The sequence below is a fragment of the Homo sapiens genome, chromosome 5 (genome assembly GCF_000001405.40).
Source record: "Homo sapiens chromosome 5, GRCh38.p14 Primary Assembly".
Classification (NCBI taxonomy): domain Eukaryota; kingdom Metazoa; phylum Chordata; class Mammalia; order Primates; family Hominidae; genus Homo; species Homo sapiens.
Window position 1 is genome coordinate 180,542,846 of NC_000005.10, and position 27,529 is coordinate 180,570,374.

Genomic DNA, 27,529 nt, shown 5'->3' on the forward strand with positions numbered 1-27,529 from the left:
ATGAGTATGTACAATTTTGTGGGGAAGAAGTAGATAGATATGAGATTATCAAAAGGTGACTTCCTTTTGTTCATTGACCTCTTCCTGAAAATTAGGATCCTTAATTTCTTGTATTGCGTAGTTCAATGGTAGAGATATATCTTTCTCTAGTACATTATGTTCTTTTACTTCTGTTACTAATCTTTTAAACTCTGAATTTTTTTAAATTTATTTATTTATTTATTTATTTTTGAGACGGAGTCTCACTCTGCCGCCCAGGTTGGAGTGCAGTGGCACGGTCTCTGGTCACTGCAAGCTCTGCCTCCTGGGTTCACACCATTCTCCTGCCTCAGCCTCCCTAGTAGCTGGGACTACAGGTGCCTACCAGCACTCCTGGCTAAATTTTTTGTGATTTTAATAGAGACGGGGTTTCATCGTGTTAGCCAGGATGGTCTCGATCTCCTGACCTCGTGGTACACCCACCTCGGCCTCCCAAAGTGCTGTGATAACAGGCGTGAGCCAGTGCACCCGGCCTGCACTCTGATTTTTTAAACAAAAATGAAGTACCATGTTTTGAAGTTTGCTTTTTTTGCTTCATTTGTTGTGAACATAGTTCCACATCAGTGTATGTAACTATTTCATTCTAAAAGAGAATATGGCTAAGGAATGTTACATGAATGAAACGTAATTCAGTATGCTCGATTCATGATCGTTTATATTTCTAATTTTCCCCAACAATATATGTCTTAGCATACCTGAACAAGTGTTTTCATAAGGTAAATCACAAATTGTGGAATTGATGGGGCAAAGACGACTCAGCTTTAAAATTTTAGTAGATATTACCAGATTGGCTTCAAAATAGTTGCATGTTTCCCAAAATGAAAGAATGTGTCTGTTTCCCCCTTCTTGTCAATATTGGATATTAGTCTTTTTTATTTTGCTATCGTAAACATTTTTTTATTACTGAGTTTGAAGATTTATTTTTAATATGACTTTTTTTTTTTGAGAGGGAGTCTTGCTCTGTTGCCCAGGCTGGAGTGCAGTGGCACGATCTCAGCTCACTGCAAGCTCCACCTCCCAGGTTCACGCCATTCTCCTGCTTCAGCCTCTCAAGTAGCTGGGACTACAGGCGCCCGCCACCACGCCTGGCTAATTTTTTTGTATTTTTAGTAGAGATGGGGTTTCACTGTGTTAGCCAGGATGGTCTCGATCTCCTGACCTCGTGATCCACCCGCCTCGACCTCCCAAAGTGCTGGGATTACAGGCGTGAGCCACCGCTCCTGGCCATGACTTTGTTTTTTAAGTGACCTATTCTTATCCATTGTTCATTTTCCTGTTGATTTCTTTGTTTTCTTTTCTCTCATTATAAAACTCACAGGAAATCATGAGGGCAGGCACATGCTATTATTTACCATTCTATCCCCATACCAGCATGGTGGATACTGAAAATTGACTGAATAATGGTTAGCTTCCCATATAAGTTGGTGTCTTCACCATATAGAAAGAAGTTTTACATTTTAATGAATTCAAACCTGACAACTGTTTTCATATTTGAATTCTAGTGTTTGAGTTATGCTGATAACTATTCTGTTTCATTTCTTTCCTGGTTTTTTGGTACTTAGAAATTTATTCCAGAATCGTGTGTGTGTATGGTAGGCATCCGAGTTCTCCTTGTCTTCCTGCCTCTACCTCATATATGATTTATTCCTTTACTTGGCTTTTTTTCCTTTCCCTTATTCCCAGACTTTGTGGTTTTCTTTCTGGCTACCTTCTACCTTCTTGAATTGTCAGCTTATTTTTCTGGCAGATGGAATTATGATCACCCTGTATGGGAAAAGGAGCTATACAAATTGGCAGGCTTTGAAAATGAACCGCCATAAATCCGTAGAAGTTGTATGTCTCCATTCAGGAGCTCTGTTTGCTTCTTTAGGCATACCCTTCCCCTCTCTTGAGTGAAGAGGGCAAAGACACAGAAAACTTAGTAGGGAACCAGGCGCAGTGGCTCACGCCTGTAGTTCCAGCTACTTGGGAAGCTGAAGCAGGAGGATCACGTGAGCCTAGGAGTTAAAGGCTACTGTGAGCTATGAGCAAGCACACCACTGCACTCCAGCCTGGGTGACAGAATGAGACCCTGTCTCAAAAAAACAACAAATTGTTTTATATTAAATGCCTTATTCATATTGAATATCAGCTGTGTGTTTTCAGTTTTATGAATGGAAAATTAAGTAAATAAAATTTTGTTCTACAAATAGCTTGTGGTATGGTGTCTGTTCTGTTTATAGCAAAGTAAGGGAAATACCTTCTTAGATTAAGATAGATTTTATTATACAGTTTTACTGAAGTTTAGTTGACATTCAAAATTGGCGTGTATAAAGTGAATAATGTGTATATTTTGACTGTGTACACCCGTGAAACCATCACCACAATCAAGAATGATCATATTCATCGATCCTGAAAGTTTGTGATCCTTCCTTCCCCACCTCTCCTGTTTCTCCATTCCTTCCCCTATTTCTAAGCAACCGCTGTTCTGCTTTCTATAACCATAGATTAGTATGCATTTTGTGGAATTTTTGTATAAATGATGTTATACAGTATGTACCCTTTTTTCTTTTTTTCATGAAAATGGACACCTTGCATTTTTTTTGTTGTTTTTGGTGATTTTGGTCTGCTCTTATCCTCTATACTTATCCTGTAGTTCATCCATAGTGTTTTGTTGGTTTTTAGTAGTTCATTCTTTTTTATTACTGAGTAGTAGTCCATTGTATGGCTACGCCAGCATTTGTTTATTTGTTCTCCTGTTGAACACACTTGGGTTGTTTCCAATATTTGACTATTACAAATAAAGCTGCCGTGAACATTCCCCTTTGTGTGGGCATAACTTTTATTTCCTAAAAAATGGAATTGATCATATGGTAAGTGTATGTTTAACTTTTTAAAAAACTGAATCTGGTTTGCAAAGATGTCTTGTTTCATATTCCTACTAGATGTCTTTGATCCATGCCCTCACCAACACAAGTCTTAAATTTAGCCATTCTTCTGGGTATGTAGTGCTATCTCAGAGTGGTTTAAATTTGCATTTCCCTAATGACTCCCAATTTTGAGCATCTTTTCATGTGATTATTTGCCATCTGTTTATATCTTCTTTGGTGAAGTGTCTGTTAGATCTTTCACTCGGTTTGAAAATTATGTTTTATTTCTTTCTCTCTCTTTTTTTTTAGACAGAGTCTTGCTTGGCTAATTTTGTATTTTTAGTAGAGATGGGGGTTTCACCATGTTGGCCAGGATGGTCTCGATGTCCTGACCTCATGATCCACCCGCCTCGGCCTCCCAAAGTGCTGGGATTACAGGCATGAGCCACCGCACCCAGCCCAACCATTTGATTTTAATGTGGTTATTTCTATGGTTAAATTTAAAATTCACCATCTTGCTATTTTTTTATTCATATCATTTATTCTTTGTTCTATTTTTTCTTCACTCTCTTGTTTTGAAATAATAAAGCTTCTTCTATTTTTTCTTCACTGTCTTGTTTTGAAATAATAGAGCTTTTTTTAAATCATTCCATTTTACCTCCTTTGTTTGACTTTTAGCGATAACTCTTCGATTTATTAGTTAGGGTTTATGGTGTCTTATACTTACCACAGTGTGCTGTCAAGTACTAGTACACCTCTTTACATGCAGATAATAGCCCAACAGTACACTTTTGTTTCCTCCTCCCATCCATTATTTCTTTGTGATGTGTCACTTCTGCATATGTCATAACACCCACGTTATCTTATTTCTAATATTGCTTTAAGTAGTCAATTACATTTTAAATAGTTGTAGAGAAAATAATCTCATACATACCCACGTATTCACTATTTCTGGTGTTCGTTTCTGTTAATGTAGATTTCCATCTGGTATTTTATTTCTTCTGCTTAAAGAATTTTCTCTAATTTCCTATCAGGTAGATCAACTGGCAATGAATCATTTCACCTTTTCTATACAGGTTGAGTATTGCTTAACTAGAATATCCCTTGGGATCAAAAGTGATTTGGATTTCAGATTTTTTTATTTTTTATTTTTGAATGCTTACATATATGTATGTGATGAGATATCTTGGGGTTGGAACCCAAGTCTAAAACTTGAAATTCATTTATGGTTCATACATACTTTATGCAAATAGCCTGAAGGTAACTTTATTCAATGTTTTAAATTTTGTACGTGAAACCAAGTTTATGTACATTGAACCATCAGAAAGCAAGGAAGTCACTATTTCATGTCATTGTTCAGAAAGTTGCAGGTTTTGGAGCATTTTGGATTAGGGTTGCTCAAGCTTTGTCAGAAGTTAATTTGCCTTCATTTTTGGAAGCTATTTTTGGTAATTTGCTAGGTTGACAGGATTTTTTTTTTCCTTACAGTAAAGTTTTTACTCCTGGCCAGGCGCTGTGCCTCACGCCTGTATTCCCAGCACTTTGGGAGGCCACAGTGGGCAAATCACCTGAGGTCAGGTGCTCGAGACCAGCCTGGCCAACATGGTGAAACCCCATCTCTACTAAAAATATGAAACTTAGCTGGGCGTGGTGGCGGGCGCCTGTAATCCCAGCTACCCAGGAGGCTGAGGCAGGAGAATCGCTTGAACCTGGGAGGCAGAGGCTGCACTGAGCTGAGATCGCGCCACTGCATTCCAGCCTGGGCAACAGAGCGAGACTCCATGAAAAAAAAGAGAAAAGAAAAGAAAATTGTGCTCCTCTGTCAGTCTCTCTTATTGTTTACAGCTGGGAGTCTGCTGCATTTTATCTTTGCTCCTCCCATATGAAATGTTTTTCCCCTCTGGTGGCTTTTTAGATTTTCTCTTTTAAGCCATTTGGTTAAGATGTACATGTAATTTTCTTTTATGAAATTTTCATACGTTTGAGTTCATGGAGTTGTTTGTTTGTTTGTTTGTTTTGAACTGGAGTCTCACTCTGTCGCCCAGACTGGAGTGCAGTGGCACCAGCTCAGCCCACTGCAACCGCCACCTCCCGGGTTCAAGCGGTTCTCCTGCCTCAGCCTCCCTAGAAGCTGGGATTACAGGCGCCCACCAGCATACCTGGCTAATTTTTGTATTTTTAGCAGAGATGGGGTTTCACCGTGTTGGCCAGGCTGGTCTTGAACTCCTGACTTCAGGTGATCTGCCCGCCTCAGCTTCCCAAAGTGCTGGGATTACAGGCATGAGCCACCGCATCCTGCCCTCATTAAGCTTTTTGTATCTGTGAGTTTAGAGTTTTCATCAAACATAGACATTTTCTGCTGTTTTTTCTTGTGTAATACCTTGAGATACAATTCACACACTGTACAGCTCACCCATTTAAAGTGCCAGTTTAGTGGGTTTTGTATATTCACAGAGTTGTGCCACATTTGCCACAATCAGAACATTTTCATCATCCCAAAAACGAACGCTGTACCCATTTAGCAGTCCTTCCTCTGACATTTAGGAACGAAGTCTAGCCTCAGTTCTGTGTGAACTTGGGGGTTGCTGCCTCCACCATCCTTTCAGGTGTTTTTTTCCCTCTGGCTCAGGTAGTTTCTCACATGCATGTGTCGATCAATACCCTGTTGACAACTTGAGCCAGGGAGTGGGGGGCCCCATCAGATCTCCAGACTTCTCTCTGTTCTCTTCTCTTCTCTCTGATGTTCTGCCTCTTGATTTCTAATCACCTTGGCTTCCCTGGACTTTCTGTCTCTGGAACTCAGGGAGGATCACTGTCCTCTACCTGGGATTCCCCTCCTTGGGCTGCCTCCTGTAAGTGCTGTCCAAGGAGTAAGCTGAGACAGTTATAGGGTCTACCCTGTTTGTTTCCCACCCTTCAGGAATGACTCTCCTGCATTGGTTGGTGTCTCATCTTAGAAATTTGCTGATTCATGTATATTATCTGATACGATGGTTGTCACAGGTGGCATGGTAAATTTAGTTCCTGTTACTCTTATCTTGGTTGGAAGTCTCAAGGTCGCGTTTTCTTCAGCCAATAGAAAATTAATCAGTTCTGAAAGACTGGTATGTTTTTATTACATTTGTTTCATTCTCTCTCAGATTAGATCCTGAACCAGTAAGGAGATTATGGGGAACATTCTTAGATTGTAGAAACCATTGACAATTTATCAAGAAGTGTCAAAGTGCAGATTTACTGTTGCATTGAAAGGTTTTATCATTCTGTTCTTAGTCACTGAATCTTATGCCTACTACTATTTGATTATAAAGGTCTGACTTACTATCTGAAGCGTTTCTGGGCAAGTGTTTTTACTTGTTACCATATAATACAAAATGCTGCTTAGCCATGTGGTTCTTCATGCAGTTATCACTAGGGTACTCAGTTCTTAAAACTCAGCTAAGAGTACCTTGTGTTCCTTTTTGTTTTTAGGCAAAATTCTTGTTTTCTGGAGATATGAACAGCCTCTGAGATAGTAGAATTTGTGTTATTTTGCATAAGTCCAAACCAGTCATGACGTTCAGATATTGGATTTATCATTACTATAAATTAATCATATTTCCCTCTCATATCTGAGATCATTTTAAAGGATAAATTTGGCCGGGCACAGTGGCTCATGCCTGTAACCCCAGCACTTTTGGAGGCCAAGGCGGGCAGATCACAAGGTCAGGAGATCGAGACCATCCTTGTTAACACCGTGAAACCCCGTCTCTACTAAAAATAGAGAAAAATTAGCCGGGCATGGTGGCGGGTGCCTGTAATCCCAGCTACTTGGAGGCTGAGGCAGGAGAATGGCATGAACCCGGGAGGCGGAGCTTGCAGTGAGCCCAGATCACGCCACTGCACTCCAGCCTGGGCAACAGAGCGAGACTCCGTTTCAAAAAAAAAAAGGATAAATTATTTTTGTGCTCCTAAAAATAAAGATGCACTCTAAGTAGTATTGGTACATTAACTTTTTATTTTAACCTGCTAAGTGAGGAGCTTATAACTTAATCATAGCAATGAATCGTAGAATAGGTAAGATTTCCTGTTAACCCCTTCTCACAAGTTTTTGGATAATAATTTAAGTTACTCATAAAAACATCTAAATCTTACTGAAATCTACAGAACAAAATGTAGAGAAAACTATATAATCCGTTCCTGTATTTTTTTCTCTTACAGGAAAAGTAAGAAGCTTAAGCGCATCTTTGTGGTCACTAACTCACCTGACAGCTTTGCATTTGAGTGACAATTCCCTGTCCCGAATTCCTTCAGACATTGCCAAGCTTCACAATCTGGTGTATTTGGACCTGTCATCTAATAAAATTCGTAGCTTACCCGCAGAACTCGGAAACATGGTATCACTCAGGTATGCAGATTCAACTTAATACATACTAGCTATATGACCCCTAAAACAAAATATAGGCCGGGCGCAGTGGCTTATGCCTGTAATTCTAGCGTTTTGGGAGGCTGCGAGAGGATCATGAGGTCAGGAGATCGAGACCATTCTGGCCAACATGGTGAAACCCCATCTCTACTAAAAATACAAAAAATTAGCCAGGCGTGGTGGCGGGCACCTGTAGTCCCAGCTACTCGGGAGGCTGAGGCAGGAGAACAGTGTGAACCCGGGAGGTGGAGTGGCAGTGAGCCGAGATCACACCGCTGCACTCCAGCCTGGGTGACAGAGCGAGAGTCCATCTCAAAAAAAACAAAAACAAAAAAACATTTGTTGTGTTAGGAAACAAAACTGTTCATTTAATGGTATTTGAATAAAAGGAAACATAACTATATCCTTTATAACTTTATAGTTTTGTTTTTGGGAAAATTGAATGTCAGCTAATAATAAATTAAGTAGATCATTGGCTGAATTTTTTAATTACTGTATTTTGTGTAATAGACTTTATTTTTGAATGAGAAAGTTTGGACAGAGAGTGGGTAGACTGCAAGGTGCTTATGTTATCCCACATACTTCCTCATGACAAACAGGGCACCATACCATCCTTAACACAGGGTCCAGGAAACCATTGCCAGTTGGTGAAACCTTTTTGCCATCCCAGGGCTTGTATGTTTGATAGTAGTAAAGCCTGGACTTGAAGGAGCTATAATTATTAAATTTGGGGGCCTGTAGCATGAAATATATAGCATTTGGATTCACATGTGTAAGTTCAGGTTGGAATCTTAACTTTGCCATTTATGAGTTGTGTGATCTTGGACAACCTTCTTGACCCAGGATAAGGGATGTTTGAGATAATGGGTAAAAAAACACTAGTACCTTGCCTGGCATATACTGTGTTTTAAGAAATGGTAATTGCAGACTGCATGTGGTGGTTCATGTCTGTAATCCCAGTACTTTGAGTGGCTGAGGCGGGCTGATTGCTTGAGCCCAGGTGTTTCAGACCAGTCTGGTCAACATAGCGAGAACCTGGTCTCTACAAAAAAAAAAAAAAATCCCCAGATAATTAGCTGGGCTTCGTGGCATGCACCTGTAGTCCCTGCTACTTGGGAGGCTGAGGTGGAGGGATGGCTTGAGCCCAGGAGGTTGAGGTTGCAGTGAGCAGAGATCATGCCACTGCACTCCAGCCTGGGTGACAGAGCAAGACCCTGTCTCTACCCTCCTCCCCTCTAGAAAATAAGAAAGAAAAGAAATGGTCATTGCTATGTTTATTTTGATAGAGATGAGGGTCTCACTATGTTGCCCAGGCAGGTCTTAAACTCCTAGCCTCAAAAGATCCTCCCATCTTGGCCTCCCAGAGAATTGGGATTTCAGGCATGAGCCACTGTGGCTGGCCCATGATTATTATTATTATTTTACTTCTGTTTTATAAGGTAGATAAGATCTAACCAAGTTAATATAAAGCTAAATTCCATGTATTATGTTAATCCCAATGGAATATTTTGTACTATTTCATGTTAACTGACTTTTTGACATGGTTCCACTGGCTTTCCTGCTGCCTTCTGCCATTAGCCATGTAGTAAAAAGGAATAAGGACCTTTTGAAAGGTCTTTGCCTCTATTGCTCCTACTCCAGCCTTTTGACTTTTTTTTAGGTTTAATTGAGTTTGTTCTATGACTGTTTTTAGTCCTCTGAAACAAATTTACTTGAAGGACCTCCTTTTTCTTTTTCTTTTTTTTTTTTTGGAGACGGAATTTTACTCTTGTCGCCCAGACTGGAGTGCAATAGTGTGATCTCGGCTCACTGCAACCTCTGCCTCCGGGTTCAAGTGATTTTCCTGCCTCAGCCTTTCAAGTAGCTGGGATTACAAGCGTGTGCCACCATGCCCAGCTAATTTTTGTATTTGTAGTAGAGACAGGGTTTCACCATGTTGGCCAGGCTAGTCTCAAACTCCTGACCTCAAATGATCTGCCTGCCTCGGCCTCCCAAAGTGCTGGGATTACAGGCGTGAGCCACCGTGCCCAGCCCGAGGGACCTCCTTTTTTCTGTATATTGTATTTGGAAATAAACAGGAGCCAGATATCAGAACTTGCTCTTCTTGTTGAGTTTACAGCCACACAGACCTTCTGGCTTGCTCAGTAACCAAGATTCATTTAAATGTCAAAAACCAAAGATTATAGAAATAGATTTCTTGCACACTTAAAAAGTGACAAATAGGCTGGGCACGATGGCTCAAGCCTATAATCCCAGCACACTTTGGGAGGCCGAGGCGGGCGGATCACAAAGTCTGGAGATCGAGACCATCCTGGCTAACACGGTGAAACCCCGTCTCTACTAAAAATACAAAAAAAAAAATTAGCTGGGTGTGGTGGCAGGCACCTGTAGTCCCAGTTACTCGGGAGGCTGAGGCAGGAGAATGGCGTGAACCCGGGAGGCGGAGCTTGCAGTGAGCCGAGATCGCATCACTGCACTCCAGCCTGGGCAATGGAGCGAGACTCCGTCTCAAAAAAAAAAAAAAATTGAAAAATAAAACTGCATGCGTTACATTGCCACTGTGTCCGTATTGGGTCTCTGGTGGTTCTTTCCCCGCGTGTCCCCCCGGCTCACCCTTGAAGGTTCCTTTGATATTTATATCATGATTATCTCTGCAAAACAAATCATATTAAGAATAATCATGAACAGTTAATACAGCTGCTGTTATTTTTTAAATGCAACTTTAGTTGATAGCAATCATAAGCTTAATTATGCAGCTGTTACGAGCTCTTTTGAGTCGTTAACGAAATGATCATTTTAGTTCTCTTTTAAGAATTCACATGGTAGGCTGCTTTATCATTTCCACTTTCTTAAATGTGTAGTAGACCCCATGTGTACTAGACCAGTGATACTCAGTGTGGTCTGTGACCTGGTGCCAGTTTGCAAACTGTCTTGCCAGTCTGCAGTGAGATTAATACAGCAGTTGAGGAATTTTATATGTCTGTTAAATCTAATACTTTTTAAAAATTGGGTCTTACATTTTGTCCTTTTCCCCCATTATTTCATTTTCTCTAGTAATTTGTTTCTTGTATTCTCTGGCAGTTTTTTTTTTTAAACCACATGTTATTTAAGAAACGCAGTACTAGACATTGAAATATAACGTAACATTTTTTCATTCTTAGGTGCTTATGTTCCTAGAAACTATGTTGTTGATTTTAACTGTTAAAGGCTAACATATTTTTCTGACTTCCTGGAATTTTTACATCAACAGGGAGCTCCATTTAAATAACAACCTGTTACGAGTTCTACCTTTTGAGCTGGGAAAACTGTTTCAGTTGCAGACTTTAGGCCTGAAAGGTATGACTTCCATATTTGTACTTCTTATGGTTTGTGTATATGTCTTTGAATCTAAAGAAGCCAAGAAGCTTTCTGCTAGGGGATTCTTTTAAAGACTCATTTTCCCCCAGACTTCATCAGTTTCTTAGCTATATCGCAATGGTTTTATCTTCTCTGTTCAGCTGTAGACTATCTACTAGTCTTTGTTTTCTTTTTTTTTGCTCCGGACCCAGCCCTTCTTTTCTAGCCTCTGTTTTAATAAACCCTGTGTTCTGGTGATACATCCCTGAGGCTATGCTTTATTTCATCATGTTATAAACAGCTGTTTTTCTTAGATTCAAATCTCAAAAAACATGGAGCCTCTCATATAGTACAGAAAACAGGAAGTCGAAAATGTTGACCATTTGAACCTGCTGATGATCAAGATTTAAGCATATTTAAAAAAACTTGATTTATGAGGACTTGTGATTATAGGGCCATAATTGATCCAGCAAGAACTATTAGGAAATAAATATTTTTTAAGCCAACAATATTGAAAGTTATATTTTGACAGTATGTCAATGCCTATAAATTTTTTATCATGTTAAGCAGTTCTTCACCAGCCTTGGGTAGGTGTGTCTAGCCTACTGTACAGTTGCTTCTTCAAAAAAGTCACTAGATGAAGTCGTCAAGATTTGCACCCTTAGGCCGGGCACAGTGGCTCACACCTGTAATCACAAAACTTTGGGAGGCTGAGGTGGGTGGATATCTTGAGGCCAAGAGTTCAAGACCAGCATGAGCAACATGGCAAAACCCAATCTCTACCAAAAATACAAAAGTCAGCTTGGCATGGTGGTTCCCACCTGTAGTACCACCTACTTGGGAGGCTGAGGCATGAGACTTGCTTGAACCTGGGAAGCAGAGGTTGAAGTGAGGTGACATTGTGGCATTGCACTCCAGCCTGGGTGACAGAGCGAGACTCTGTCTTAAAAAAAAAAAAAAAAGGAATTGCACTCTTAGTTTCTTAAAAATACAGTTATATAAAAGGTTTTAGTCCTGTAAATATTTTATATATCATAAAAGAACAGTTTTTTTTAAATAAATAGAAATATATGTTTTAAAATGTACGGAAAGTCATATTCAACAGATATCAACATTGTAAATGGTTTGTAATTTTTTTTCTGTGTGGGCTGAACTAGCTAAGGCTTCTAAATATAAAGGCCAGTGAAATGCAAGATGAAGATGCCCTTTTCTGTTATATTTCCCAGTCTAGCTGTTTCTAAATTTGAAGAACAGAAAAGTACTGTGTGGCAAAGTGTCCATATACTGACTGCCAGAATTAACAGTGAATACTTTATCATTTTTGTGTATAATTTTTTTAATGCAAAAGAAATGGAACATTACAGAATGTTGAGACCCTCTTTGTTCTTCCAGTCTTCCTCATGGCGGAGGTATGTTTTTCCAATTCAAGGTTTTCCTAATCTTACACTATATATTTTACAAACTGTAATTTGTAATTCGTACTCACTAAGGCTTTTCACAAACTTTATTTGAAGTTAGGGTCACCAGTCACAAATTTGCTTTTTTTTTTTTTTGAGAGAGAGTCTCTTGTCGCCCAGGCTAGAGTGCAGTGGCATCATGATATCGGCTCACTGCAGCCTCCTTCTCCCTGGTTGAAGCAATTCTTCTGCTTCAGCCTCCCGAGTAGCTGAGATTACAGGTACCCACCACCATGCCCAGCTAATTTTTTGTGTTTTTAGCAGAGACGAGATTTCACCTGTTGGCTAGGCTGGTCTCAAACTCCTGACCTCAAGTCATTTGCCCTCCTTGGCCTCCCAAATTGCTGGGGTTACAGGCGTGAGCCACTGCACCAGGCCATAAATTTTCATACTGATTTAATGTACAGGAAAGCCTCTAAGTGTAAATGCCTGCAGCAGTAGGGCAGTTCTTTATGACTCCTTCATTTTTGATGATCCCTTGCTTTTCCATTTCAGATGCTTTACTTTATCACCTCTAGACATCTGTGTTTATTTCTTGGAAGTGTAGTTTCAAAGAGACATTTGCTTATCTCACATATCCTGCTGGACAGCATTACACATCTGTAATAGCAGTCTTCTTTTACTGGTTTTACTTCCTTTGGACAAATCCTTTTATTTTTTCTGAGCTTTTGCAGTTTACACTTTAATTCTAATGTTGTGTCGGAACATTGGGTGGAATGATCCGTTTGGGGGTAGAGCTGCTGCTTTACTTCTTAAAGCAATTGTATCATCTTTGCCCTCTGAAAACTATCATTGATTTCTCCCGGCATCCGCTTGGAAGAGAGAAAATAATATCACTTAGTTCAGAGTCATGTTTGTTTGCTATTATACGTCATACATTCTTGCAGAACCAAAGTATTTCTGCCTCATGAATCAGTTCATACCATTTTCTTTGAAGTTGTTGCAGAATGGCTGGCAGGCTTCACTTTTTCCCCCCACATTTTTAAATACTCTTCAAAATTGTGCCGCAGTACTACAGTTAAAGGCAGGACTGTGACCTTAGGTGCCCATTCACTTTTTTTCCTTAAACTGTTTATTTTGAGATACTTGTAGATTCACATGCACTTACAAGAAATAATACAGAACAATCCTATCCCCTTTACCCAACTCCCTCCAATAGTAGCATCTTTCAAAACTATAGTTTCACGTTATCGTACATAGAACAGTCAAGACACAGAATATTTTGTGAAATAAGCCAGACACAGACAAATACAACATGATCTCATTTATGTGTGAAGTCTTTAAAAGTCAAACTCATAGAAGTAGAGTGTAGAATGGTTGTTCCCAGAGGCTTGGGGACGGGGGACAGAGTGGAAAGGAGAGGTGTTGGTCAGAGGGTGCGCAGTTTCATTTACACAGGGGGAATAGGTCTGGTGATCTGTTGCATAGCATAGTAACTATAGTTAATAATAATGTGTATTTTTTAACAGCTAAAAGAATGGATATTAAATGTTTTCACCACAAATAAGTATTCGAGGTGGTGGATATGTTGATTAGCCTGATTTGATCATTCCACAATGCATAACTGTGTGGAAACATCACATTGTTCCCCATAAACATACACAATTATATGTCCATTTAGAAAAGGATGTAGAACATCTCTATCACCAGAAGATCCTTTTGTTACACTCTTATAGCCACACCTACTTTGTTCCTGCCCCAGCTCACTGCTTCTAAGTTTTGCTATTTTAAGAATGCTACCATCCCGGGCGCAGTGGCTCACGCCTATAATCCCAGTACTTTGGGAGGCTGAGGCAGGCAGATCACGAGGTCAGGGGATCGAGACCATCCTGGCTAACATGGTGAAACCCCGTCACTACTAAAAATACAAAAACAAAATTAGCCAGGCATGGTGGCAGGTGCCTGTAGTCCCAGCTACTCGGGAGACTGAGGTGGGAGAATAGCGTGAACCTGGGAGGTGGAGGTTGCAGTGAGCCGAGATCGTGCCACTGCACTCCAGCCTGGGCAACAGAGCGAGACTCCGTCTCAAAAAAAAAAAAAAAGAATGCTACTGAATGGAATCATACTGTATGCGGTCTTTTGAGATGGGCTTTTCCACTCAGGTTAATTATTTGGATATTTGTCCTGGTTGCATGTATTGATAGTTTGTTCCTTTAAATAGACAAAAGTAGTAGTCTATGATATAAATGTCTCGTGGTTAGTTTAACCATTTACCTGCTGAAGGAAATCTGGGTGGCTTCTAATTTGGGGCTGTTACAAATAAAGTTGCTGTGAACATTCAGTGTGCAGGTTATTGTGTGAATATAGTTATTCATTTCTCTAGGATAAATGTCCAGGAGTGCAGTTACTGGGTCATTTGAGGGTTGTATATTTAATTTTTTAAGAAATTGCTAAGTGGTTTTCTGTAGTGTAAGTACTGCTTTACATTGTAAAGTGATTCACTTTCTCTGCATCCTCACCAGCATTTGGTGTTGTGACTGTTTTTATGTTAGCCATTCTGGTAGATGTGTAGTCATTTCATGGTTTTGATTTACATTTCCCCAATAAAGATACCCAACATCTTTGCAGGTGCTTATTTGTCATCTGTAATGTTTTTCTTCTGTGACATTTCTTCTTGTCATTGTCCATGTTCTAATTAGATTATTTGCTTTTTTACTGGGAGTCCTTTATATATTCTAGGTACGAGTCGTTGGTGGAATATGTGGTTTACACATATTTCTCTCAGTATGTAGCTTTTTACAAGGTCATTGCACAGCAAAAGTTTTTAATTTTAATGAAGCCCAGTTTATCAGTTTTTTCTTCTGTGGATCCTGATTCTTGTTTCAAGTCTAAGAACTCTTTGAATAGCTCTAAGTCCCAAAGATTTTCCTCTTAGGTTTTCTTTTAAAAGTTTTATGGTCTTATGTTACATTTAAGTCTATGATCCATTTTGACTTACGATTGAGTTAAAAGATGTGAGGATTAGCTCAAGGTTCTTTTTGTGTGTGTGTGGCCTGTCGATGTCCAGTTGCTCCAGCAGCATTATTGAAAGATGATCTTACCTTCATTGAATTGCTTTTGCATCTTTGGCAAAAATCAGTTGAGCATATCTGTGTGAATCTGTTTCTGGATTTTTTATTCTGTTTCATTGATCTATGTGTCCATCCTTCCGCCAACATCTGCAAAACCAGTTCTGAGGCCCCAGGAAGGAATCGGCTCTTTGAGCCTCAGAAGGGTACAGCTGTGCGTGGCCACAGGGAACACACTCCAGGCTACTGGGGTCTAGTGATGAGGCACTTTTGTCAGGACGTGGTCCACAGAGAGGAGAAAAGAAATGTTCTTTAGTCTCAGAGGCCAAGACAGACGCATGGGAGGAGAGGGAGATGGCAAGGACCTGGATAACTGGAGGCGTGATGAATGGAGAGTCTGGTGCAGGATCCATGCCACGGGAGGAGGCCCCTGTGGAGAGTGAGACCTTGGGCGGTTAGGGCTGGCCGGACTGGGCCCCCTGCTCCTCACAGTGTGACCTAAAGCCGCGGCCTGGTATCTAGTGCTTTCCAGCGTAGCCCAGGAAGGCGCGCCCTCCTTCGGCAGAAACACCTTAAAAAAAAAAACAAAAAACCTGCTATTGCTTTTTAGACAGAAACAATATGGAGACTTTTATTTCATTGAGTTCTGCTCTTTAGTATTTCCTTCCTTCCTTCTTGTGTTTGCTTTTTTTTTTTCCTAGCTTCTTGAGGCGATAGCTTAGATTATTGAATTGAGGCTTCTGTCTTTATTGAGACTTTTGTCTTCATGCATTTAATGTAGAAATTTTCCTCCCAACCCTGCTTTAGAAGCTATGTCCAGCAACAAATTTTGATATTTGTATTTTTATTTTCACTAGCTCAGTATATTTTATTTGTTTGTTTATTATTTTGGGACGAGGTCTGGCTGTGTTACCCAGGTTGGCTTCCGACTCTTGAGGCCCAAGCAATCCCCCCACCTCAGCCTCTGAAGCAGGTGGGACTACAAGCACTTTACCCCCGGCTTGGTTCTCGATTTTTAATATGATTTCAGTGTGGTCAGAAAGTGAACGTTCTGTGTGATTTCAATTCTTTTCCATTTGTTGAAGTTTGTTTGATGGCCTAGGATATGGTCCATCCTGGCATATGTTTCTTGGGTACTGGAAAAGAATGTGTTTTCTGTTTTTGGGTAGAATGTTCTATAAATATCTATTAGCTCCTGTATATTAACTTAATGTCTGTTAGGTCGATGGTAGTGAGGTTTTTGTCGTGTTCTGTCAGTTGTGGAGAGAGAAGTGTTAAAGTCTCCAACAATAATTGTAGACTCTGTTTTCCTTTTAGTTCTCTCAGTTTTTGCATAAAATATTTTGTGCTTCTCTTGTTTGGAAGCACACTTAGAATTGCTGTGTCTTCTTGAGGGATTGAGCCTTTATTATTACATAATGTTATTTTCTATCTCTGGCAATTTTATTTCCTCTGATGTCCACTTTATCTGATATTAATATAACCACTCCTGCTTTCCTTTGATCAACTTTTGCATTATATATCTCTTGCCATTCCTTTCTTGCCTCTATTATTACATCTGAAGTGAGTTTCTGTGGACAGTATATAGTTGGGTCATATTTTTAAATCCATTCTACCAGTCTTTTAATTGGTATATTTAGACCATTTACATTTAAAGTTAATTAGTAAGTTAGGGTGTAAGTCGTAAGTCTGCCATTTTATTTTTTTGTTTTCTGTTTCTTCATCTTTTGTCTTTTTCTCTTTGCTTCTGCCTGCCTATGGGTTACTGAAACATTTTTTAGATTCCATTTTGATTTTTCTGTAGTGGTTTGAGTGTGTCTGTTTGTATAGATGTTTCATGGTTCCTCTGGGTATCACACTAGATGTATAACTTACCACAGTCTATTGGGGGTTATTTTACCAGTTCAAGGGAAATATCAAACCTTAGCTCTCTTTACATCCTTTTATTCACTGCCATTGATAACAGTTCAGAATATTTTCTTTACATAAATTTAGAATCACATTAGTTTTATGATTTTTTTTTTTTTTTTGAGACAGAGTCTCGCTCTGTTGCCCATGCTAGAGTGCAGTGGCGCGATCTCGGCTCACTGCAAGTTCCGCCTCCTGGGTTCAAACGATTCTCCTACCTTGCCTTCCAAGTAGCTGGGATTACAGGCACCCACCACCATGCCCGGCTAATTTTTGAATTTTAATAGAGACGAGGTTTCACCATGTTGGTCAGGCTGGTCTTGAACTCCTGACCTCATGATCCACCCACTTCGCCCTCCCAAAGTGCTGGGATTACAGGTGTGAGCCACCGTATTGGGCCAAAATTTTTTAAACTGTCAAACGTGATTTAGAAAACTTAAGGAAATCTCGTATTTGCCCATATTTTTTTGTTTACCTATATTGTTTTCTTCTTCCAAAGTCCTTCTTTTATCATTTCCTTTGTATTTAGAGAACTTTTTCTAGTGGTTCCCTTTGGGTAGATCTGCTGGCAGCAGATTCTGTTAGTTTTTTGTCCTCTGAGATTGTCTTTATTTCTCCTTCATTCCTGAAGGATGTTTTCACTGGATATAAGAATCTGGGTTTGACAGTTCTTTCGACACCTGAAAAATATTTTGCTGCTTCCTTCTGGCTTCCATGGCTTATCATGACAAATCTTTCGTCATTCCAATTTGTTTTTCTCCTGCAGGTAAGGTGTCATTTTTCTCCGGCTGCTTTCAAGATGTTTTTTCTTTGTCTTTAGTTTTCAGAAGTTTAATTATGATGTGTCTTGCTGTGGATTCCTTTGGGTTTTTCTTGTGTAGGGGTTCACTGTGCTTCTTGAATCTGTTGGTTTATATTTATTGCCATATTGTGAGAATCTTCAGCCATTATTGCTTTGAGTACTTTTTCAGCCCTGTCCTCCGTGTCCTCAGCGTCCAAGGCTCTGATGACATGAATGTTAGATCTTTTGTTATAGTCCCACAAGCCCCAGAGACTTTGTTCTTTTTGTTGTTGTTGGTGGTGGTGGTGGTGTTGGTCTGTGTTCTTATCTATCTATCAATCAATCAGTCAATCAAGAGACGAGGTCTCGGGCTGGAGTGCAGTGGCACGATCTTGGCTCACTGCAGCCTTGACCTCCCAGGCTCAAGCAGCTCTCCTACCTCAGCCTCCCAAGTAGCTGGGACCACAGGCATGTGCCACCATGCCTGGCTAGTTTTGTTTGTTTGTTTGTAGAGACGAGATTTTGCCATGTTAACAAAGCTGGTCTCGAACTCCTGGCCTCAAGTGATCCTCCTGCTTCAGCCTCCAAAGTGCTGGGATTATAGGCATGAGCCACTGTGCCTAGCCTTCATTTATTTTATTTTTCAGTTCTAATATTCCCATTTGGTTTTAAATGTTTTATTTGCCTGAACTTTGTTTCTTTGCTCAGTCTTCCTGTTTTCTTGTGTGTTTTGTGTGTGTGTGTGTGTGTGTGTGTGTGTGTGTGTGTTTTCAAGCATGTTTTTAATTTCTCATTGAAGCATTTTTGTCATGATTCCTTTGTCTTGGTTGGGTAATTCTGTTTCTGTCATCTCAGGGTTGGAAGTTGTGTTTATCTTTTTGCATTTGATATCTTCGTGTCTTGGTGTGATGAGCTATTTTCATTTGAAACTGGACTCACTCATGTTATGAAACTCTAGATCTTGTTTAAACCCTTTAGTTTGGTTTTCTTTGCCTAGCACTGCTGTGACAAGGGAACCAGGCACTGTCTCCTTACTGCCAGTGGAGGTAGAAGTTCAGGTTCCACTTGGCCTTCGCTGACACCTGGGAGTGGGGGCTCCTCGTTGCTTCTGGTGGAGGTGGTAGTTTTGGCTCTTCACGCGGCCTCCACAGGCACCGCACTGGCGTGTCCTCTTTATTGCAGGGAGATGGTGAAAGTCTTGACTCTCCTTGGCCTCCTCTGACACCACCTCAGAGGGAGGAAGGGAGCTCCATATCGCCTCCTTTCTTTCTCTTGCAGCAGAAGTCTACCAGCCTCTCCACTTGCTCATGCTGGCATGGGTAGAGATGGGACCACGTTTTTTTCTTTAGTGTTAAGCTTGAGTACAGTGGTTCTTATCTAAAACTTTTGTCCTTTTAGGCAGCCCTTCCCTGGTCCTTTGGCTTTTGTTGGGATTCTTTTGGGTCTGTACCCATTGGTATTTCCATGTTACTGGCTTCTTAGCTGCATGTCTGGCATATCTGAGGCAAAAAGTGAACCCAGGGAACTCATCCCTGTGCCGTTCGTCAGGTCCTGCAGTCTTTGGCTATTCTGCCTTCTCTCCTTTTTTCAGAGTTTTGTGTTTGCTTTACACATAATATACAGTGCTTTTAGTTGTACCTAGTGGGAAGAATAGGGAAAAGTGTTTTTACTCCATCTACCCTAAAGTAACTTCTCATTTACTTTTTTGTTCTTTCTCAGGACTCAGTATAGTTTTAATTCCAGAATTTTATTGTTATTGACTTTATTCATATATATTGTTTTCTGTTTCCAAGTAGTGAAGAGCAGATTAATTTTCAATTTAAAAGAAGTCCTGGCCGGGCGCGGTGGCTCACACCTGTAATCCCAGCACTTTGGGAGGCCGAGTCGGGTGGATCACGAGGTCAGGAGATTGAGACCATCTTGGCTAATGCGGTGAAACCCTGTCTCTACTAAAAATACAAAAAATTAGCCGGGCATGGTGGCAGCTGCCTGTAGTCCCAGCTACCTGGGAGGCTGAGGCAGGAGAATGGCGTGAACCCGGGAGGCGGAGCTTGCGGTGAGCCGAGATGGTGCCACTGCACTCCAGCCTGGGCAACAGAGCGAGACTCCATCTCAAAAAAAAAATAAGAAAAAGAAAACAGCATCACTGTAGGTCTGGTTAGAATGAGCTGTTTACCTGATACCGAGAAGTTTTCAGTTGACTTCATTTTCTCAAGATGTGTTTCACAAAGGGTCCTGATAAGCTTCAGGTTGTAACTGCTTATCTCACGGGATTGTGACTCAGTGAAAACATGAAAAGGCTGTGGTGGGTATAAAGAACCACACACACGTGAGAGAATGGTACTCTTGTAATTGCCTTCCTGCAAATACCTACTTTGCACTTAGAGCAGCACATTTTTCTTTTTATAATTCTTAGAATCCTAGAATCTTAAAACCGAAAGATCTTAAAGATAAATGAACTTTGCCATTTTTCCCATCCATGCAACTCAGCTTCTTTGAAGGATACTCCACTGCCTCACAGCACAGGGTGTCTCAAATAGTTAACAGTGTTTGCCAACCTCTTCTATTCGGCCTTGGCCTTTCCTGTTAAATTTTTTTTTTTTTTTTTGAGACAGAGTCTCGCTCTGTTGCCCAGGCTGGAGTGCAGTGGCGCGATCTTGGCTCACTGCAAGCTCTGCCTCCCAGGTTCACGCCATTCTCCTGCCTCAGCCTCCTGAGTAGCTGGACTACAGGCGCCCGCCACCACGCCTGGCTGTTTTTTTTTGTTTGTTTTTGCTTTTTTTTTCTTTTATATTTTTAGTAGAGACGAGGTTTCACCGTGTTAGCCAGGATGGTCTCGATCTCCTAACCTCGTGATCCGCCCGCCTCGGCCTCCCAAAGTGCTGGGATTACAGGCATGTCTTCCTTCTGCTCTTTGAGTCCAGTCTTTTATGAGAGAATAGGAAAAAACACTTCCTTTAGGTTTTGATCATTCTTATCTACCATATCCTTTAGTTTTTCTTCATTTGGTATGGTTAACATCTTTGACCATTTTATCTGCCTTCTTCAAACTGCAGAATTTGTCTGGTTTTCTTAAAATGGCGCTGTGGCATCCAGAATAATACACAATGCTTGTGTAGGATGGATAGGAACTTTGCTCCATGAAACCCTGCGCTGCACTGTTGTTATTTGTACTTTTATTTCTCATGTACATAAGAAACCCTTCTGAGAGGATTTGAGATTCTTGTAGGTATATGTAAATCATTGTTTTTGCTCTCATTTTGGAACAAAGCAGTTATTGAATTTACAGATGGCTCATGGCCCTGGGATTTTTTCCCCCTCCTTAGTGAGTTAATTCTTAAGCCAAGTCAGCCCCATTTTGTTGCTTTGTTCAGTATGACTTTAAAAAATCTAAGTGCAAGTGTATATTTGTCATTAGGGTGTTTTGTTGTTAGCTTTGTGACATTGTAGAGTTTTGATTCTCTGATGCATTACGCTGGCTTTCATCCTTCCCTTCACTGTTTCCTCTGCCCACCCACTCTCCCAGTCACCTGCCTGCCCCGTTCGTGTTTTGCTCACTCTTGTTTGTTATAACCATCTGTATTATTGAAAGTGTTGGCAAGGCAGGGTCAGATATAGAGCACTGCTAGTGCATTTCTGATTGACATCAGCCCATTAACATTATGTTTTGAATGTGTATATAGAACATGGTATGAATCATTTTTACTTATATCAGAAACTGAAAAAACAATATTTTCTATAGTCTGACATCTTACTAGTAACTATAACATAGTTATGGATGATCTGATAATTTTGATACATTTTAAAATTTTGAAACATTTTATTACTTAGTTTCATTTTACTTATTTCAAAAATATTTCCAGGAAATCCCCTTACCCAGGATATATTGAACCTTTATCAGGAACCAGATGGAACAAGACGGCTGCTGAACTATTTGCTTGATAATTTGTCAGGTACTGCAAAAAGAAGTAAGTGGTTATTTGTTTAAACCTTTTTATTAGGAAGACGTGTAAGAATATTGCTTAATTCTGTATTTTCTATTCAACTAGTTACAACAGAACAACCACCTCCAAGGTCTTGGATTATGTTACAAGAACCAGATAGGACAAGGCCAACTGGTTGGTAGTCTTTTATTTTTTAACTGTTATTTTTGCTCAGTCTCTATAAGCCTAACAGTATTGTCAGCATGCTTAGATTACAGGTAGCATTAAGACAAAATGTTTAAGGTTGGTTTGGTTTGGGAGGTAATAAAAAAGAATTCTTGCTCACATGACCTCTATGTATACTACATTGTGCTATATAGAAAGTGTGCTATAAAGCAGTGCTTCTCAAACGGGCAGTTTATCCCCCAGAGGACATTTGGCAATGTCTGGAGACAATTTTGATGGTCGTAACTGGGGAGAAGTGCTGCTGGCGTCTGGTGGATGGAGGCCAGGGTTGCTGCTCAGCATTCTATAGTACACGGCACAGGCCCCCACAACAGACTTCACCTGAAATGTCAGTAGTGCGACTCTGGTTGAGAAACCCTTCTGTAGTGTACTGATGAAATTCACTTAAAATGAATACACCCAAATTTTTCTCTATGAGAAGTTTCCAAATCCTAGCATGTTCCAAATGGATTTGACACTACCGAGTTATAAGAGAGCCAAACCCTTACTTAGAGGAAAGTGGAACTAATGACTGCTCATCTCCTTTTAACCTAAATTCTATGTAAATAGTTTGGGAGCTTTCATGGTGCGTGTAACAAAATTTGGTCTGTGATACCGTTTTCATTTTGCATGAATTAACAATAGTTGTGCTGTAGAAGAAAATGAGGCATGCCTATTAAGGATACTACCTATCCAGTTTCCACATCTTACATTAACAGTTGGTAGCATGGTAGAAGGAGTATAGAAATGAGGAATGTTAGGCTCAGAGACTGAAGGGCTCACGAGCTTAGACTTTTCACTTCCAGACCTTCTGTGCCTACCTCTGTAGCAGGTAGTACATTGTATTCTAACTTGTTCACTTATCTATCCTGCTTGCATTATCCGTCTTTTATTTATCCCCCATATGTGGCGTACAGTAGCTTTTCAGTGACTATAGATTGAATGAATACGGTCAAACTTAACATTTAAGTGAAAACCATTACTGAAATTAATTATATATTTTTTTCTGCCACATGTGTGAATAAGTAAAGTTATCTTTCCTACAGCCTTGTTTTCTGTCATGTGCTATAATGTTCTTTGTGATAAATATGCGACCCGGCAGTTATACGGCTACTGTCCATCATGGGCGCTAAACTGGGACTACAGGAAAAAGGCCATTATTCAAGAAATCTTGAGCTGCAATGCTGATATCGTAAGTCTTCAGGTAAGTCAGACAGAAGACAGTCAACCTAGCATTGATAAAGGAAGGAGCAACTAGGAATACATTACGCTGACACATTTGAAGTTTTAGCTTCAGTAGTTCTTAAAGTACTGCTTTTTTCTGTTATTAGTGAATCCTGGGAGTACTGCCTGCTTTGCTTTGCAGTGCTATGTTGCAAAATAGGCAAATGTGTTAAGCTGGGATTTATGCGTTTGCCATGACCGCTAAATACTCACCTTCCTCCTCCCTCCAGCGTCCCTGCACTATTTTTGAATTGGGTGGCAAAGTTACTGAAATTCTAGCGTGGTCAAGCTATAACTTGCATTGCCGACCATGTTGCTAGAACAATTAAGGCACCGTGTAAAAAGGACTGACTTGGTACACGAACATTTTGGGTTCTCAGTGCAACTCTCATAGTCACTCATATGATCTTGAACATGTTACTTTCTGCCCAAGGGTCTGAAGTTATGATTTGTAAAGTTCGTCGACCTCTGTGGTTCTTGTTCCACCTCAGTTCTAAGACATAAGGAAATACACATGCATAGAAGTGTGTCTTTCACTCACTGTTCTTAAACAACAATGAGTTGCCCTTGGTACCTAGTACCTGTAAAATGACAAGTCGCTGTTCCAGTTGGTTTCAGATAAATAGTGTTGAAAAGATGTTACTTTTTTTTTTTTTTTTTTTTTTTTTTTGGGTGGTGGGGAGACAGGCTCTTTCTCTGTCCCCCAGGCTGGAATGCAGTGGCATGATCTCAGCTCACTGCAACCTCCGCCTCCTGGGTTCAAGTGATTCTCAGCCTCCGTAGTAGCTGGGATTACAGGCATGCACCACCATGCCTGGCTAATTTTTGTATTTTTAGTAGAGATGGGGTTTCGCCATGTTGGCCAGGCTTGGTCTGGAACTCCTGGGCTCTAGTGATCCGCCCGCCTCGGCCTCTCAAAGTGCTGGGGTTACAGACATGAGCCACCATGCCCGGCCCGGAAAGATGTTACATTCTTTAATCTGCAGACCAGTCCTTTGAAATTATTTCAAGCTCTCAAACTATACATAGAAGTTAATATGCAGACTAATTTTTGTCTTATGAAATAACTGTGCTGTTTACAACTTTTCAGGAGGTTGAAACGGAACAGTATTACAGTTTTTTTCTGGTAGAGCTGAAAGAACGTGGCTATAATGGATTCTTCAGTCCTAAGTCTAGAGCTAGGACAATGTCAGAACAAGAAAGGAAACATGTTGATGGCTGTGCAATATTCTTCAAGACAGAAAAGTAAGTCATCTTATTTTTTAAAAAGAACGTTTTCTCAGTATTTGCAGGGTGGGGGCCAAGGGTGTGGAAACTAATTGGCAAATGAGAGAATGAGGCACTATATTATTACTGAAGCAAAGAATACTGTTTGACCTAGGGGGTTTTTGTTTGTTTTTAATCATCAGAAATAACCTTGTTTTGGAGACATGCTTAAAGTACTGCTGTTTCTTCAGGTGTTTACTAGGGTTTAACTCCCAATTGTTAATTGAAATACCATGTAGTTAAAATTCCCTCTATGACGGTACAGGGATTCTTAAACCCATACTTTAGAAAAGAATTGTTTAAAAATTACAAGGTAGAATATTCCAACATAAAACTTAAACAGAAGATGACTACATTTTCTTCAGTTGTAAAAATATTTCAAGTTGTTATTTGTATCAATAACAGACTGAGAGCAACTTTAAATGGATGTGGGAAGCTTGATGCTGAACGTGGAGGATTTTCCGTAATGTGATTTAAGTGCCATCGTATCTGTTAAGGAAGTTTGGGAAAACTGCGTTTCCCACAAAGCTAACCTCTTGGTATTCCCAACTCTGTGTGTGTGTGTGTGTGTTGTTTTTGTTTTAGATTTACTTTGGTTCAGAAACACACTGTTGAATTTAATCAGCTAGCCATGGCAAATTCTGAGGGGTCTGAAGCTATGCTGAACAGAGTCATGACAAAAGATAACATTGGGGTTGCAGTACTGCTAGAACTTCGGAAGGAATCGATTGAAATGCCGTGTGAGTGCCCTTCACTTCCTGTAAAATTGACCAGCTCTGACTAGACATCTTCAAAAGAATAGAAAACAGAAATTTCATTGTGTATTCATGGTCTTGTCTAACACCTGAAGAAACTCAGTGAGAAGTTGTCTTTCCTAAAATGTATCTCTTTTTCTCTACCACAAAGCTTAACATGAGAAAGCATTGCCCATTAAAGTATTAGAAGCCTTGAAAAGCATTAAAAAACCTTTTTTTTTTTTTTTGCTCCTAAGAATTTTTCATATAAAATAAATGTTGAAGTAAATATTAATTAAAATAACTGCTCAGGGGTAAGAACTCCATACACTTTTGTAATTTTTTGGCAGCAAGGATATTCTGTAAGCTAACTTCTTTTCCTGATCTATTTAAAATAATCATTTTATTAGCTGGGTGTGGTGGTGGGCGCCTGTAATCCCAGCTACTTGGGAGGCTGAGGGAGAGAACTGCTTGAACCTGGGAGGCAGAGGTTGCAGTGAGCCAAGATTGTCACACTGCACTCCAACCTGGGTGACAGAGTGAGACTCCTCAAAAAATAAATAAATAAATAAATATAAATAAATAAATACATAAAATAATTATTTTAAAGGTCTTGAGTTTTGGATAAATGGACCACTTCAAATTGAAAGCATATTTCAAGTGACCATTATGCTGGGAGCCGAAACTTGTGTCACTTGAGGAACAGTTGGAACTGGAGAAATTTAATGTGAAGTATAGAAAAAATGGAAATAGGACTTAACGATTGTCTTAAATCTAAGAAAGAGGGTTTAGATGTAATTTTGTGAGGCTCGATTTAGGACATCCAAACTAAGACCAAAAGTTTCAGGGAGACAGAATTTTAAAAATCAAGCTGTCCCAAATAGGGCTATTTTTGTACAAGTAGTGAATGCCCTGTGCTGGAAGCATCAGCCCAGGTTGAGATGTGTATTTCTCGGGTTTGTTGTAGGGCACATTCAGTCATCCGGTGGGAATTTTAGGTGTCTTTTCTATTCTGGGACTCTGAGAGATTATTTGCTTTCAGACGCTGTAAGAATATATGGGCTGATGGGCGGGTTTTGTCTCTTTCTTTGTTTCGTTTTTATCTAATGTAGCCGGAAAGCCACATCTTGGAACAGAAAAACAACTTATTCTTGTGGCTAACGCCCACATGCATTGGGACCCTGAATACTCTGATGTGAAGTTGGTACAAACTATGATGTTCCTCTCAGAAGTGAAGAACATTATTGATAAAGCCTCTCGCAACCTCAAATCCAGTGTTTTGGGAGAATTTGGAACTATTCCACTTGTGTTATGTGCAGATCTTAATTCTTTGCCAGACTCTGGTAAGAAAATAATGTGATTTTATGTAGAATATTTTTTGACATAAGATGATTTAGTAATGTTTTGTTTCTGATCATTCCAAATTAAGTCCAAATAAAAATTCAGTTTGTAATGGCAGCTATGAGCAGGTTTTAAACATCATGTTGGGGTGGAGGGGCCATTTTGAAGATGAAACGATATTATGGAAACTTGAGGAGAAGGATGTTAATCATCTTGAATAAACACATAAGCAATAACGTGAAATAACTCTTTAAAGAACGTATGTAGTTCCATTTTATTACTCCAAAGTCAGAGATAATTATGGTTATTAAGACAGCCTCTTTGGGATTCCAGCGTGTGGTAATATAATCATAGTTTAAATTTGAGTTAAAATTATAGAATCTCAATTTTGCATGTATTTATAACTTGATTAGAAAAATACACCTCAGGTGGAAAATGAGCTCCTTTATTTGCACACATATCAGTCAAGCGATTTTGACAAAGAGCAAGGATCTTGATTTTTATTAAAATGTAGAATACAGAAAGCCTGATCTGGAGCGCTCTTTCCGTGGATAGTATACAATAAACAGTAGCCCTTGTAATAACAAACTGTTTCTTTCTTTTTGTGTTTCAACTCATTTATACACACAGGAATACTCTTCCTTGGACGTGAATGTACGCATGAACACACACACACGCACATTTGGAAGCACGTTCTTGACATCACAATAGATAGAGCCCTTAGGAAGAAAGAAACTGGCTGGGTGCCGTGGCTCACGCCCGTAATCCCAGCACTTTGGGGGGCCCAGGTGGGCAGATCAGTTGAGGCCAGCAGTTCGAGACCAACCTGGCCAACATGGTGAAACCCCATCTGTACTGAAAATACAAAAATTAGCCAGGCGTGGTGGTGCACGCCTGTAATCCCAGCTACTCGGGAGGCTGAGGCACAAGAATGACTTGAACCCCAGAGGCAGAAGTTGCAGGGAGCCAAGATTGTACCACTGCACTTCAGCCTGGGTGACAGAACGAGACTATAAATAATAATAATATGATAATA

General features: G+C 40.0%; 1 protein-coding gene across 15 annotated transcripts in view, besides 1 other annotated feature; it reads left to right on the forward strand.

The window, feature by feature from the left end:
* Positions 1-27,529, forward strand: part of CNOT6 (CCR4-NOT transcription complex subunit 6) — an 83,980-nt gene that overhangs the window by 48,467 nt on the left and 7,984 nt on the right. For 7 of the 15 annotated variants that reach the window (NR_163437.1, XM_047417436.1, XM_047417440.1 and 4 more), the window contains 8 exons: positions 7,086-7,272; positions 10,541-10,626; positions 21,644-21,748; positions 21,830-21,898; positions 22,975-23,132; positions 24,243-24,397; positions 25,004-25,158; positions 26,265-26,495. Coding sequence is in view for 13 of the 15 variants with exons in the window: in XM_047417436.1 (XP_047273392.1) it covers positions 7,086-7,272; positions 10,541-10,626; positions 21,644-21,748; positions 21,830-21,898; positions 22,975-23,132; positions 24,243-24,397; positions 25,004-25,158; positions 26,265-26,495 (1,146 nt within the window). In the remaining 2 variants the exon portion in view is untranslated. Of the gene's footprint in view, positions 1-7,085; positions 7,273-10,540; positions 10,627-11,968; positions 12,036-21,643; positions 21,749-21,829; positions 21,899-22,974; positions 23,133-24,242; positions 24,398-25,003; positions 25,159-26,264; positions 26,496-27,529 lie in introns of those variants that run through there. The other 8 variants (XM_047417438.1, XM_047417437.1, NM_001370473.1 and 5 more) reach the window with 5 other exon arrangements.
* Positions 5,724-6,018: a silencer, noted in NCBI's record as "tiled region #4663; HepG2 Repressive non-DNase unmatched - State 15:Elon". NCBI's record gives its function as "represses a minimal TATA promoter and a strong SV40 promoter by Sharpr-MPRA in HepG2 cells {active_cell/tissue: HepG2}" and the evidence as "EXISTENCE:reporter gene assay evidence [ECO:0000049][PMID:27701403]".